The following is a 14,050-nucleotide window of genomic DNA, read 5'->3' on the forward strand; positions in this document are numbered from 1 at the left end:
TCTTTTCTTTATTATCTGATGTTTATATGATGAATTTACAATTTTTTCAAAGTATAAGTTTGTTTTTTAATAATACCATTGGTGAATCCTTTTGTGATGGTGATGGTGTCATTGGTGAACATACTGTTTTAAGACAGATCTCTTCTAAGGTACACAGCTGCTCTTCTTGGTGGGCCCTGCCTGGTATGCCTGCCTGGTACAGCTGCCTGGGAAGCTTTGGCTGCCTGGGATCTAGAGAACTTGCTGTGTTCAGAAAGTGACACCTGAGAGCACCCAGCAGCAAGCTTAAAGAGTGTTGGGTCAGCTCTAAGCTTTGTCAAAACACAGGACCCAACCAAGAGAGCCTATCTTGTCCCTCAGCCTGTGGCACTGAATTCCACTCTAATTCACTCTCTGGGGTACCTGGAAGATGAGGACTATCTGGAAATGAAAGACATCCTTGATGACTGGCACTTGCTCCAGGACACTGGTGGGGAGAAGCTGAGGCCCAGGACCTGAAAACTCAGCCAGCTTTGTGCTTTCCCGAGCTTTCTCAGGGCACAGGGGGAGGCATGGGAGAGAGAACAAGTCAAGGAGGAACCAAAGCTGGTCCTGGAAAATGCAGGGTCTGCATCAGGGATGGATGGCCTCCATCACCCCAGGAGACCGAGCCTTGGTGACCAGAATCTTGGGATGCTAAGAGATGGCAAAAGCGCTGGGCATGAATTATGGCAAGATTTTTTTCCTTCCTCACTTTATCCTTGCACTTTATTTTTCTCCTTTGCTGGGTCCTCAGCATCATTCTTTGAGAGCCTTTTTCTAGCTTCCTCCCTCCAAAGACCGCAGGAGTCACAAACCCCCATTCCGTGAGCAAATGTGTATTGGGCTCTTAGCACATGCAAGGGCTGTGACACAGATGGCAGAGGAGGCCAAGGAGTAGAAGACAGCCCCTTCCTTCATGGAGCTTCCAGTTCAGTTAGAGAGGGAAGACATGCTCAGTGGGCAAAACAAAGTATAAGGTCTGAATACCATTGTAGACTCGGGGTAGCACATGCCCATACCAAAGCCAGGCTGGACCCAGGATTGGTGAGGTCTGAAGTTTATACAGCATTGGGAGATCCTCATAGAAAGAAGAGATAGAAAATAGCTAGAGCCCCTCCCAGGTCTCTGGAAGGGGCTCTTGCTAGTGAGGAGTTCTTGGCTTAAGTGTTGTTAGTTTCTTGGTGTATTAGGGTTCTCCAGAGAAAAACCAATAGGGTGTGTGTATGCACACACACACACACACACACACACACACACACACACACACACACATATATAATGACATTTATTTTAAGGACTCAGCTCAAGTGATTATGGAGACTGACAAGTCCAAAATCAGCAGGGTGGTCTGGCAGGCTGGAAACCCAGGATAAGCTGAGGTTGCATTGAAGCCTGAAGGCCATCCACTGGCAGAATTCCTTCTCACTCAGGGGAAGTCCTTCATTTGTTCTATTAAGGCCTTCTACTGACTGGAAGAAGACCACCCACATTATGAAGGGTCATCTGCTTTACTCAGAGTCCACTAATTTAAATGCAAATCTCATCCAAAAACATCCTTACAGAAACATCCAGAATAATGTTTGACCAAATATCTGGGCACCGTGGTCAACCAAGTTGACATAAAATTAACCTTCACACCTGGCAAATCCATCTCTGAACGTGAGGTCTGTGGAGGGAGGAAATGCTGTGGACCAGATGGTCAGAGCAGGCTCCCTGGGAGAGGTGGACTTGAACCAACCTTGGGGATGGCTTGGGCATCATGGCGTCTGCGGTCCTTGCACACTGAGCCTCAGCGTGGACGGGGAGTCTGTCCCATAGCCTTGTTGGAGGCGGGAAGGATTCTGGGATGGCCGAAGGGGTTGGTAACCTTTGGCCCAAGGGTTCATCAAGGTGTCACATGTGGCCCACTTGCTCCGACACTGTCCCTCTCTGGGAACCTGTTTTTCCTTTTTCTCGTCCCCTCTCCCCTCCCATTCCTCATCACCCTTTCTTCCCGTCTCCTCCCTCAGGTTAAACCTGGAACGAGACCAGGCCCTTCAGGCTCCCAGGAAGTCACAAGGTGTCTCCAGCAGATGTGCTTCATCCAAATCCTCAGCATGAACACAGCTTGTCCCACACCCAAATCCTCAAGATGTTCAGGGGGCTCTGTAGTGTGTTCCCCAACCCTGTGCCCTAGTGACTCTTTGCGCTTGCACGTGGTGTCATTTATTATGCAGGTGTACTTTGTCAAGGGAGCCCCTCTGCTCACAGCACAGGGAAACCAGCCTCCTGGCTATCTCCTGTCCCTTGTTAATCTGCAAGACAAATGGGTGTTGTCATTAGGCCTTGTCACTGTGAAGGGAAGGGAGAGTATCACCATTCCAGCTTGGCATTTTTGTCCCCCCTACCACCCCGCCCCCCGCCCACTCATCTTGGCCACATGGCCTCCATTTCCGCTCCTGCTTTGTTTCCTCAGCTGGCTCCTGCCCAGACTTCCTGTGGACCACATGGTCAGAGGAGGCTTCCTGGGAGAGGCGGACTTGGACCAGCCTTGGGGAATGGCTTGGGTGTCATGGCATCTGCTGTCCTTGCACATCGAGCCTCATGGTGGACTAGGGAGTCTGTCCCATGGCCTCATTGGAGGTGGGAAGGATTCCGAAGGAAGGATTCCCCTCAGGGGGAAGGTTCTGAAAGCAAGAAGCTGACAGCAATTATCTGAAGAGGTTACAATGGATAGCAATAGTTCCTTGAGGCCACAGACACTCCCATCTGGAACTTTCCTTCCACATCCCAACCACCAGCTTCAGGGGTGGCCCGAGCTCTGGAGGAAGGAGAGGCTGCAGCTGTTTCCCACTCCAGGCCAAACCGAGCCTTGAGATCCTTCTGACTTGAAAGCAGAGCTGAACACCCTGCCACTGTGTTGTCTTCAAACCAAAGTTGTTGCTTATAAGGACCCCTTGCCTGCATTTAGCTCTTACAGCATTGAACAAACTTCCTCACAGTAACCTGGCAAGGAGGGCAGAGCCTATGTTACGATCCCATTTGAGAGAGCAGAGGTGAGGCCCAGGACTTGAGACAGATCCCTTGGCTGGTACTGCCTGCCCAGGAGATGACACAGAATGCAGGGTCTCCCATGCCTGTGAGTTTGGATGGTGTTGATTAGGCCACATCCGAGACCTGGCTGCATAGGAGCCTCTCCAAATTTCCTCATGGGATTTGTGAGGCAAGTCTGGCGACAGCAGCATTCTCCCTGATGTCTTAGATTCTCATGTGAGTCCACAGGGCTCAGGCAAGCATTAGACAGACTGGGAGAGGTGACTCAAGGTGTTCTTTCAAAGCAGAGGAAACAGATTTTGTCATCAGGGAATAAGCTCCCACCAGGCCACCACACCCATTGGTCTGCGTGGTGACTCCTGACACTGGCTCCGAGGTAGGGTTCCCGGGCAGTAGGGGCTGGGGAGGGGGAAGGCCTGCTTCCCATTGTAGCCCTCCCCAGATGCTGAGTTGCAGCTAGTTCAGCTAATTGGCAAGAAAAGGAGAAGCAAAAATAGTGAAAATCTGCGAATTAATAAAACAGCCTTGAAGCAACCGCCAAAATGTGTACAAATCATGAAGTAATTAGAAGTGTGAAGAATTCTATCGGGTTCGCTGTTTCCAAATCCAACATCTGATCGCTTTAGGAGGCCAAGGGCTGGCAGGCCACAGGGAGTAGAAATTCTTTCCATTGCCGTCTGATCTCGCCTCCCTGGGGCCTGGGTTCCCTTGAAATCCTTGCAGGGTCCTGGAAGTTTCCATGGGACTTGCTAGAATCAAATGTTGGCCTTTTGGGGGCCCGTTAAGCACACGCAACGCCTTATCCAAGTAGCATGTAATATTTTAGAATAATGCTGTTAAGATTTCGCAAAGTGTTTTTTGGATCCATGTTCTTATTTAATCTCTCACTATCACCAAATATTTTTATGTCAGTGTTTTTCAGAGGAGGGAAGCAAGGCCCAGAGAGTGAAGTGGTGTCAACTCAATTTTAAGAGCCCATCAGGAGCAGAACTAGGGCTAGAGCCAGGATCTTCTGATAGCCCCTCCGACCTCTCCTCTCCCACCCACATTCCTCCTGTGGGCTCTGCTGCATCACTCAATGGTGCCAGGCATTTGTCTATCACAATTGTCTCAGCTAACAGCCAACTACTGTTCTCTCTGGCCATGGTTTATTACATTTAGGTAAGTTGTTCAACCCATTTGTTTGATTAATAAAATAAGACCCAGGCACATTTAGTGATTTGTCGATTTTTCATTTTATTTTATATCCAGATTAGACTGGGGAGAAAAGTATTTCTTTTCTTTGTCCTTCTGGAAACACATTATAGAAAGAGATTTCAGGGCTGAAGCCTTGTGGTATACCTAATGCGGAAGGGTAGAAGCAATATGTGATTAGAGTTTCATTGCTTGACTTCGTTCTTTCTGCTTTGTGGGGGCTTTCTCAAGAGTAAGTGCTCACATTCGCTAAGATGAGGGAGGGCATTGCTCAGGGCTGAAATGCAGTGTATTCAGGCTTAGAAATTCTGAGAGCAGAAACCAGAGCAGAACCCTGAGAGAATCATGTAACAAGCTTGACGTGTGTTGTTAATTCCCCAAGCGGTAGCAGAAAGCTCCCAGGAGGCTGGCGTTTACATGGTTTATAGCCAGACTGAGCAAACAACAGTGTGATTAAGTTACACGCATTAGTTGGCTCCATAACCAGAATAGAAATGTATGTTTTAATTTAGGATGGAAAGTTTTCAGCAAAGCACTTGCTACTTGCACAGACTTGTCTCTGGTCCTCAAGTTTGGCCAACAGTGGAGCACTCTGTGGGAGAGGAAGTCAGAGAGTTGGAGGCAGGTCCAGGAACATAATTTGCAGGGCACAAGTGCAAGATGAAAATTCATGCTCCTTGTTCACAAATGATGAAGAAATTCAAGACAGCGACAGCAGAGCATCAGCTAAATGCATGGTCCTTTTGAGCTTCGTGGGGCACTGTGACCCCATGGGCCATCCGTCTTTGAGGCTGGACCATGTTGGAAACCACTGGAGAAGGCAGGGGGTTGGGGGTTGAGCCTGGGGCTCAGAGGTTCTGTGTTAACCAAATGCCACTCAGCTGGAAGATCAGCGATGGAAATCAGTTAACATTTAAGAAATCACCTGGAGGCCCAGGCTCTGTTCCAAGCCATTAGGGATTCGGCAGTGAGCAAGCAAGGGCTGCTGTGAGTAGGTAAAACTGAGGGTCTTGTCTGTACCTGGGCTTCGTAATAATGATGCCCATCACTGTTGTAGGACCAGGCACGTTATTAAACATGTGCATGTGTCTGGGCATGTTAAGGGCTTTAATGAACATTAGCTTTAGACAGACACGTAAACAGCAGGTGAATGTGTGATGGGGAACCTGAAGGAACCTCCTGTGTTGGGAGATGGGGGAGGGGAACGCCTAACCCATAGTGGCATTCGGTCTGGTAGGATGCTGGCCGAGTTCCCTTTGGATAGATACTGAGACTTGAGGGATTTATGCCCCAAAGCTGTTTCCTCCTGTCTTTTTTGTTTTTTAGACAGAGCCTGTCTGTGTCACCCAGGCTGGAGTGCAGTGGCACGATCTCTGCTCACTGCAACCTCCGCCTCCTAGGTTCAAGCGATTCTCATGCCTCAGCTTCCTGAGTAGCTGGGATTACAGGCGTGCACCACCACGCCCAGCAAATTTTTGTATTTTTAACAGAGACAGGGTTTCACCATATTGGCCAGGGTGGTCTCAAACTCCTAACCTCAAGTGATCCACCCACCTTTGCCTCCCAAAGTGCTGGGATTACAGGTGTTAGCCACTGCATCTGGCCTGTTTCCTCCTCTCTTTCTCTCTAGACCAACCTTCCGTAGCCATTCTGGGCATCCAGGAGTACCCAGGATATAGGTGCTGACCTGACCCAGCTCCTCTGTCCACAATGTCATCCTCTTCGGACACATCCTTCAAGGTCCTAACTAAAATTCTGCACTCCTCTGCACTCCTCTGATCCTGCACCTGGCAGGTGCTTAGTGGTCTGCTGGGTAAACAAATATTAGGATTAGCTCCTCATCCTAATATTCACAGCCCTCCGCAGTCTGACCACGTCTGCCTTTTGGCTGTGCCGCTGCCATCCCTCCAGTACACAGAACCAGCCTCTCTCCCTGAATCAGCCTCCACATTTGTTTTTCCCAGCTGGGAGCCTCACCTGTCTTTGCAACTTTGGTTCAGTTCCACAGACAGGTACCAAATGCCTCTGTTTACAGCCTTTCTCCGACCAAGGTACAGTAGATCTTCATTACCCATGGATTCTGTATTTGCCAATTTTACTACTCCCTAAAATTTATTTGTATCCCCAAACCAGCACTCACAGTCCTTTCACAGTGATTCGCTGATGTGCACAGAGTGGTGAAAAATTTGACTCGCCTGACATGCACATTCCCGGCCGAGGTCAGACAGGGTGACACGCTGCCTTCTGGTTTCAGCTCTCATACTGCAAACAAGTGTCTTCGCAGTCTATTTAGTGCCACTTTTTTTTGTTTTGCATTTTTGTGCTTTTTTGTTGATGGTGATATTGCAGTTCTGAAATGGCTCCTTAAGCATAGCGCTGAGGTGCTATCTAGTGTTCCTAAGCCCAGGGAGGCTGTGATGTGCCTCACAGAGAAGATGTGTGTGTTAGATAAGCTTTGATCAGACATACGGTTGGCTGTGAGTTCAATGTTAACGAATCAACAATATTCTGGTACATCCAGAAAAAGGAAGAGGAAATTCACTAACAATGTCCATGAGACCACTCCATTGTTGCCATCAGAGGCTGGCAGGAACATGACCATATTAGAATGTAACTACCATGAATAAAGAGGGTCAACTTAGCGTCTCCTAAGTGTGAGGCATCATTCAAACCCTTCCTGAACTTTGTGGCTTTCTGCTCAGTCCAGGACCGTGTGCTTGCTCTGTCCTGCAAACTCATTTTGTACCAGCATCTTCCCATTGTATTTAGTACTCAGACTCTGACTTCTGATGCCCCTTGAATTGTTATTTTAACTCTCCATGTGTGGCCCCCAGATGATGGTCAGTCCTCTTAGGGCAAAAACCTACTGGCCTCACAGTGTCCTTCCTGGAGAGATGTGCTGAAGCCAAACGTGGAAAAGTTGTCTGATTAGAATGTGTTTTCAGACAGATACTAAACACAGTAGGAAATAATACAACTTTATCAGCAAGATAAATACAATCTTTATCAGCAAGGAACACTTCAGAGTGCCTCCTGCCTCAGGGTGGTTGTGAGAATCAGAGATGTTTGTAAAAGCACAAAGTGAACTTGGAAAGTGCCATGTAAGTGTTAGGTGTCTGTTGCTGTTGGCACGTGTGGGTGGCCGTGAGAAAGGCACAGTGGGGGAGCTGCTGGCTTGATCTCCTAGGTATGGGCCCTACTGTGGTTAGAGGCTTCCAAATGGGGCCCCAGAGTGTCAAACCTACCAAGTATTTCATGCCGTTGAGGGGAAAAGGTGGCATTTCAGGTGGCCTTGGGTTAGGTCCCCTGGGGCGGCGGCCTCCTCTTTGCTGGCAAAAGCCACGTATTTCTCTCCAAATTTCACGTGGCTGGGAGTTACCGTGGGCATTCTGTGGATTGCAGACTCTGTGTTTCTTCTCTTCAGTGAGGGGAGGCCAATTTTCTTTTTGTTGCTGTTTGATTTCCAAATAATTAGATTTGCAAAGTTCTTTTGTGTTATGTCAGAATCTGTCATTCCAGTGCCCGTCTCAAATGTCAAGACGCTGCTCCTGATCTTTCCCTTCCAAATGAGTCATCCAGCATCCCCTCTGCCTGTAGTATTTCCCTCAACCTTGTCTCTTGCATTCTTTCATGTTCTGTCATGTTCTGTGTCTCGTTATGGAATTTTGTGAGTTATATTATACACCTCTGGACTTTAATCATTCCTTAAGGACAGAGACTGAGTCTGGTTTAATTTTTTTTTTTTTTTTTTTTTGAGACAGAGTCTCACTCTGACATCCAGGCTGGAGTGCAGTGATGCAATCTCGGCTCATTGCAACCTCAGCCTCCCAGGTTCAAGCAATTCTCCTGCCTCAGGCTCCTGAGTAGCTGAGAATATAGGCATGTACCACCATACCCAGCTAATTTTCATATTTTTAGTAGAGACAGGGTTTTACCATGTTGGCCAGGCTGGTCTCAAACTCCTGACCTCAGGTGATCCACCTGCCTTGGCCTCTCAAAGTGCTGGGATTACAGGTGTGAGCAACTGCGCCTGGCCTGATTTTTTTTATATATACCGCTGTGCTAAAAACACAATGCTATAAAAACACAATGCTATTTTGTTTTTGTTTTAATTGTCTCTTGGACTGATGGAGTAATTTACTAAAAGCCTTAACAAAGGTTAAGGCTGTAGTCTGGATTCCTGGACAATAAGGAAATGGGTGTGCCGAGGTCACACTCCAGCTCCCATGTCTCTGTATGGCAGGGAAGAATCAGCACAGCTCTTGTCTCCTCTGCTGAGGGGAACAGCTGGTTTGTGGCATAAGAGAGATGGAAAGGACACAAGGTCTTCTCGTGGAGTCTAGAGACTTTGCGAAGGCACTGGGGAATCCCTTTTGCTGGAAATTTTTAGGCAAAAGTGACATGTGTCTGTCTGGAATGGTTGCCTGGAAACAAGTCTGCCTGGGAGTGAGCCACTGTGCCCATCCCACCCTCGCTGGACCCAGTAAGAGTGCCTGGGCCCTGGCCTGTTGTGGCAGAAGGGTTTGAAGAGGTCCCACATCCTGTAGCAGTGCGCATTCATCCCAGTTGATGTATAAACATCATAACAAGTCCTGGCGCAGAGACTGTTCTAGTGCCTGCATCCCTAGCATATTTGACAACACTGTGGGCTCTGAGGGCTTGATTCTTCTCAGGGGACCTCTCTTTGCTCAGTGGCTTCCCACCGCAGCCACTTGGGCTGGCTGCTGCCAGATTAATCTCCCCAAAACACTTTGATCTAAGGCTCAGAAGCCTTAAGTGGCTTTGCACTGCCTAAGGGATAAAACCTAAACTCCCGAAATCTTACTATAAAGTCCTGGAGGGCAGGGACTCCATCTGATACTCCTTTGTAGTCTCCTCCTGATGGTTGATAGGGTTGGTGATGAGCTGCCGTGTGTCGGTTTGATTTTATCTGTGGTCACTTCTGGAGAATTGCGAGACTATAGGATTTTCTGTCAGCTGGCCAATTCTGCATCTAAGGTAGGAAGGATCATCTGCTTTCACTGTGGTGTGTTGCTTTTGCTTGTAACTAGGTGGGGGCCTTAGTAAGAATTCCAGGAACATTGTGCCATAAATTTGGATTTGGGGAGGGGGAGGAGGTGTAGGAGAACAGTAGTTTGGTAAGAGGTTGAAATTCAGAATTTGTTTTTTTCCAGCTCCCTGTGGTTCCCAGAAAGAAACCTTTTTATAACTCTCAGGTGCACCATTTCTCTCTTTTCCAAATATGCTCAATGAAAACCGGTGCCTCCCTTCCTATCAGGACTGGAGCAGAGCTGAGCGGGGGTATTCTGAGCAACTCTTGGTTCTGCTCCTGAAAGGGGCAGGATGTCAGCACCTGGTGTGCATTAATTCAAGTGTTGTTTGCCTGGCATGTGCAACTTTTTTCAGCATGGCTGTCAGGTGTTTTTTTTTTCTTTTTTTTTTTTCCTTTTCTGAAAAATTGAGGAACGCATGCTCTCAGACTGGGTTCAAGAACAAGGTGAGGTCAGTTCCAGGAGTGAAAGATCTGAGTGGTCCATTGTCAGGACTGGGAAACGGTAGCCGAACACGAGTAGTCTCTTACTTCTCTGAAATCCCTTGGCGTTTATTTTGTTCCTTGATCATTGGCGTGGATCACATCCTGCCTTCTGTCATATTTGACTTACATCAGTTATTAGAGCATTACCTCTTTTAGAGTGGGGATCAACTGTCATCCATTTTTAAATTTCCCCATAGGCATAAGAGGTGTTTTTGTAGATCATGGAAGAAATTCTGTGATCTGAAACAGCCAGGCTCAGCTTTTAATTAGGGAGCCAGGGAACAACTAGGAACCAGGAATTACCAAGGATGAAAATATATTGGTTTAATATCCAAATAATATTATTCCCATTATACCAATGTGCTTCAGTGTTTCTGTTCTAAATTCTTAAGGCCTACAATCATGGGTCGTTTTGCTATCTCCTCCTTCTGTGTAATGAGACTCAAGCCACACCAGGTCTTACACACTCCAGAGCAGTGGTGCTCAATCCTGACTGCACCTTAGAATCAGCGGGGTTGTTCTTAGACATCCCTATGCTCAGTTGGCGCTCCAGACCAATCAACTGAGACTCTCCAGGGGAAGGATCCTGGCATCCATATTTGTCAAACTCCTCAGGTGATTCCAGAGTGCAGCCAAGGCTAAGCATGAGCTATTTGAGGGCAGCGTATCTGTCTTACTAATCATTATATCTCCAGGGCTTCCTATGGTGCTTGGCACAGAGTGGGTTTTCAGTTAACATCAGTGCCTCCTGTCAGTATCTCCTCATGGATGTCAAATGACTTCAACCAACAGGATTCTGAAACCAAACCCAGAGCCCGTCTCTCTTCCAAGTTTTCCTTCTCAGCATTTGCATCCCCATATATCTAGTAGTATGAGCCAGAAATTTAGGATTCAACTTCAATGCCCCCTATCACCCCCAACATTCGGGCCCTTTACTGTGCTTGATGATTTGACATGCTGAATCTCTCTCATATCTATGCATTCATTTCTATACCCACCAGCACCACCCAAATACTATCCAAGTATCCAAATTCAAGATACTATCATCAATCCCCTCAACTACCTTAAAAGCTCCCAAGCTGGGCTATCTCTGTAGCGTAGTCCAACCAATCCATTCTCCACACTGTAGTCAGAATCATCCCTAAAAATGCAAATATGATCTTGTGATCTACTGATTAAAACATCTCAGTGACTTTCTGTTGTTAGGAGACCAAACTCCTTAATGTGATCTGCAAGACTCCGTGGTCTGGTTCACTAGGCCCTGGTCCATAAGACCCCATGCCTGGTCCATAAGACCCTCATGATTATTCAACAAGGCCCCTGCAGTCTGGTCCACAGGCCCCCATGGTCTGGTCCACGGGTGCTTATGGTCTAGTTCATAAGGTCCCTATGGCTTGGTCCTCTAGGCCCCATGGTTCGGTCCACAAGCCTCCATGGTTCACAAAGGCCCCAGGATGTGACCCCAAAGGCCCATGGCCTGGTCCACTATAGTCCATGGTGTGGTCCACTAGGCCTTGATGGCCTGGTCCACATGGTCACATGGTCTAATCTACTCTCTCAGACTCAATTCACTCCACTCCCTGCCTTATTCTTTGCACTCCAGCCTCTCTTGCACTTACACTTCCTTGCATTCTATGCTGCCTTCAGGCTTGGGGCCTTTGCACACCCATTTCCTTCTATCTGGAGCACTTTCTCCCTCTCCCTCCTTGCCTAGTTAATTTCTGCTTATTCTTCAGTTCTCAGCTTAAGGACCCCTAACTCAGTGACACCTTCTCAGGTCCTGGCCCCAAATCCCTTCAATACGTGCTCTCGCAACGTCAGGGTCACTTCCTTGTAAGTTCTTACCTCCATCTGCAGCTCAACTTCCATTTCTGTGATTATTTGATCAATATCTCTCTGTCCCACCTGACTGAAGCCCCAAGAGGGCAGGGGCTATGTCTGACTGTTCATTTTATCCCCAGTTCCGAGCAAAGGGCAGGGCAGCTAGGAAGTGCTTGGTAAGTATCTGTGGACTAAATACCTGCATGTTTTGCAGAATAGTTCCAAACCTCTTTAGTCTTGCTGCTCTGTAACCAGGTGACTCCTCCTGACCCCTCTTCTCTTAGGCAGGGGCTGCCTCTCCTGCATGAGACCCATGGGGTGACTCCTGACAGCCCCATTACATAAAATGTTCCACATGACATGTCTGCTTTGCCCTATTTTCAGCAACCTCCTGAAGATCTATTAATATCCATATCCATCATTTGCTTTTCTATGGGAACCTTTCAATGTTTCCTAATCTCCCCTGAACTTTCCTAAAGCTGAATTTTTAGGGTCTTCGTGTACATCCTTGATTCCTTCTGGCCCACAAGGATCTTCAGGAGTTACTCTTTTTCACTTTGGACGCTGCATCATAGTGTCTTACGTCACTCAGATGCTTTTGCGTATTGGTGTTTGTGGTCTCACGGTAATCTCAGGGGTGGCTGGGTGGAGTATGTGAGATCATCTCTGTTCACGATGAGAACATAAGGCCCAGAATCAATTTCCCAACTCCTGTCACAGCCTCCTGCTTGCTTCTGTTCCCTAATCTTAAAACCACTTAGAAACAAAATCCTGCATCCAAACCTCGGTTTCTTTGAGTCTTCCCAAAGCACTGGTGAGAACACTGGACGGGAGCTCAGTTACCTGGTTTCATGCCCTTCTAAGACATCTCCCATCTCTGGGTCTCACTTCACTGACTTTGCAAAATGAGAAGTTTGGACCAGATTATTGAGGATCCCTCAGTGACAACAGTGATAATAATAATCATGGCATTAATAGTAATAATATTAGCTAACTTTTATTGAGCGCATAGCATGGGTCAGGCAGTAAGTATTTTACATGTATTAGTTCATTTTTTAATTCTTTAATTCCATCTACAAGCAAACAAAGTAGAGATCTTTGTGGCCCCATTTGACACATGTTGAAGGTCAGGTATAGTGAAGTTCAGCAACTTGCCCAAAGCCACTGAGCCAGGAAATGGCAGAGCCAGAATTTGAACCAAAGAACCCTGACTCAAAACCCCTCACTCTTAACCAGCTAAAGTAAAGGACAGGGGATGGGCTTTGGAGTCAGACAGGTGTTTAAGGCCTGACTCTGCCACTTGTCAGCAGTGTGGCCCCAGCCAGGCTACTTCTATGCACCTGTTTCCCCATACGTAAAATAGGAATAATGCCTGCACAGGGGTGTATTTGTGTGCTGGGGTTGCTGTGACAGAATACCACAGTCTGGGTGAGTTAACCAACAGACACGTATTTTCTCACAGTTCTGGAGGCTTGAAGTCCAAGATCACAGTGTTGGTGGGTTGGTTCCCCTGGAGGTCTCTCTCCCTGGCTTGCACGTGGCCACCTTCTCACTGCGTCCTCACGTGATTGCCCCTCAGTCTGTGTGTGGCCTACGTCCTAACCTCCTTTCTTATAAGGACGTCTGTCATATTAGATTGGGGCCTACCCCGATGACTTCATTTTACCTTAAGAACCTCTTTAAAGACCCTGTCTCCAAATACAATCACATTCTGAGTTACTAGGGGTTAGGGCTTCAGCGTATGAATTTGGAGGATACAAGTCAGTCTAACAAGTGGGTTTTGTGCACCTTAAGGGCATCATGCATGTAAAGGTCCTGACTTGGTTAATGCTGGGTCCTTCCCCTCTCTCCACTGGTTCTAACTTCATATCCATTGCTCTATTCCTGGCTAATGATGAGATGCGATGCTAGGTTGGCAACATGCGAGTGAGCATTGGGTGGAATCTGTCTGTTTGGCAGCTATTTCTAGAGTGGAAAAAATCTCTGCCTCATTTTAGATTGCTTATGGCATGGTTTACAGTCCTAGATTTAACATTGGAGGCCTTGAAGTCTTAGAAAAATATTATGATAAATCACAATCCTTCAAACAAGCATGACATATTTTATCCAAGGACGTGAGCTTGCCTTTCAAAAGTGAATTTATCCTTCTGCCTGAGTAAGGCAGCACGTCTTTCCCCTTGCAGCTGAATAGCTGAGGCATCAGCACTTTTAATACAAACAACAACAGGCATCCTGGAGTTGCCAAGAGCCGCTGCACCCTGAAGGTTTCCGTATTTACTGCCGGGTGTCACTTTCTCTTCTGGGAGACCACCTATCCAAAGTCACAGTAGGTTAGAGGTGAACGACCCAAGAGGAGCCAAGGGAGTTGAAACCTAAGTCAGCACTGTTGCATTAATGCAGTTGTTCTAGCATGGAGAAATGAACATGAAAAGAAATGTGGGAGTC

The 14,050-nt window shown here is 47.3% G+C and overlaps 1 protein-coding gene across 6 annotated transcripts in view; it reads left to right on the plus strand.

Moving 5' to 3' along the window:
- The window catches only part of MAPK4 (mitogen-activated protein kinase 4), a 172,215-nt gene that overhangs the window by 65,024 nt on the left and 93,141 nt on the right, over positions 1-14,050 (plus strand). The window contains exon 1 of one of the 6 annotated variants that reach the window (XM_047437625.1): positions 1,754-4,215. The exons of the other annotated variants lie outside the window; for them this stretch is intronic. The gene's annotated coding sequence lies outside the window, so the exon portion shown is untranslated. Of the gene's footprint in view, positions 1-1,753; positions 4,216-14,050 lie in introns of those variants that run through there. 6 annotated transcript variants of the gene reach the window in all.

Source organism: Homo sapiens, chromosome 18, assembly GCF_000001405.40.
Source record: "Homo sapiens chromosome 18, GRCh38.p14 Primary Assembly".
In the NCBI taxonomy this organism is placed as follows: Eukaryota; Metazoa; Chordata; class Mammalia; order Primates; family Hominidae; genus Homo; species Homo sapiens.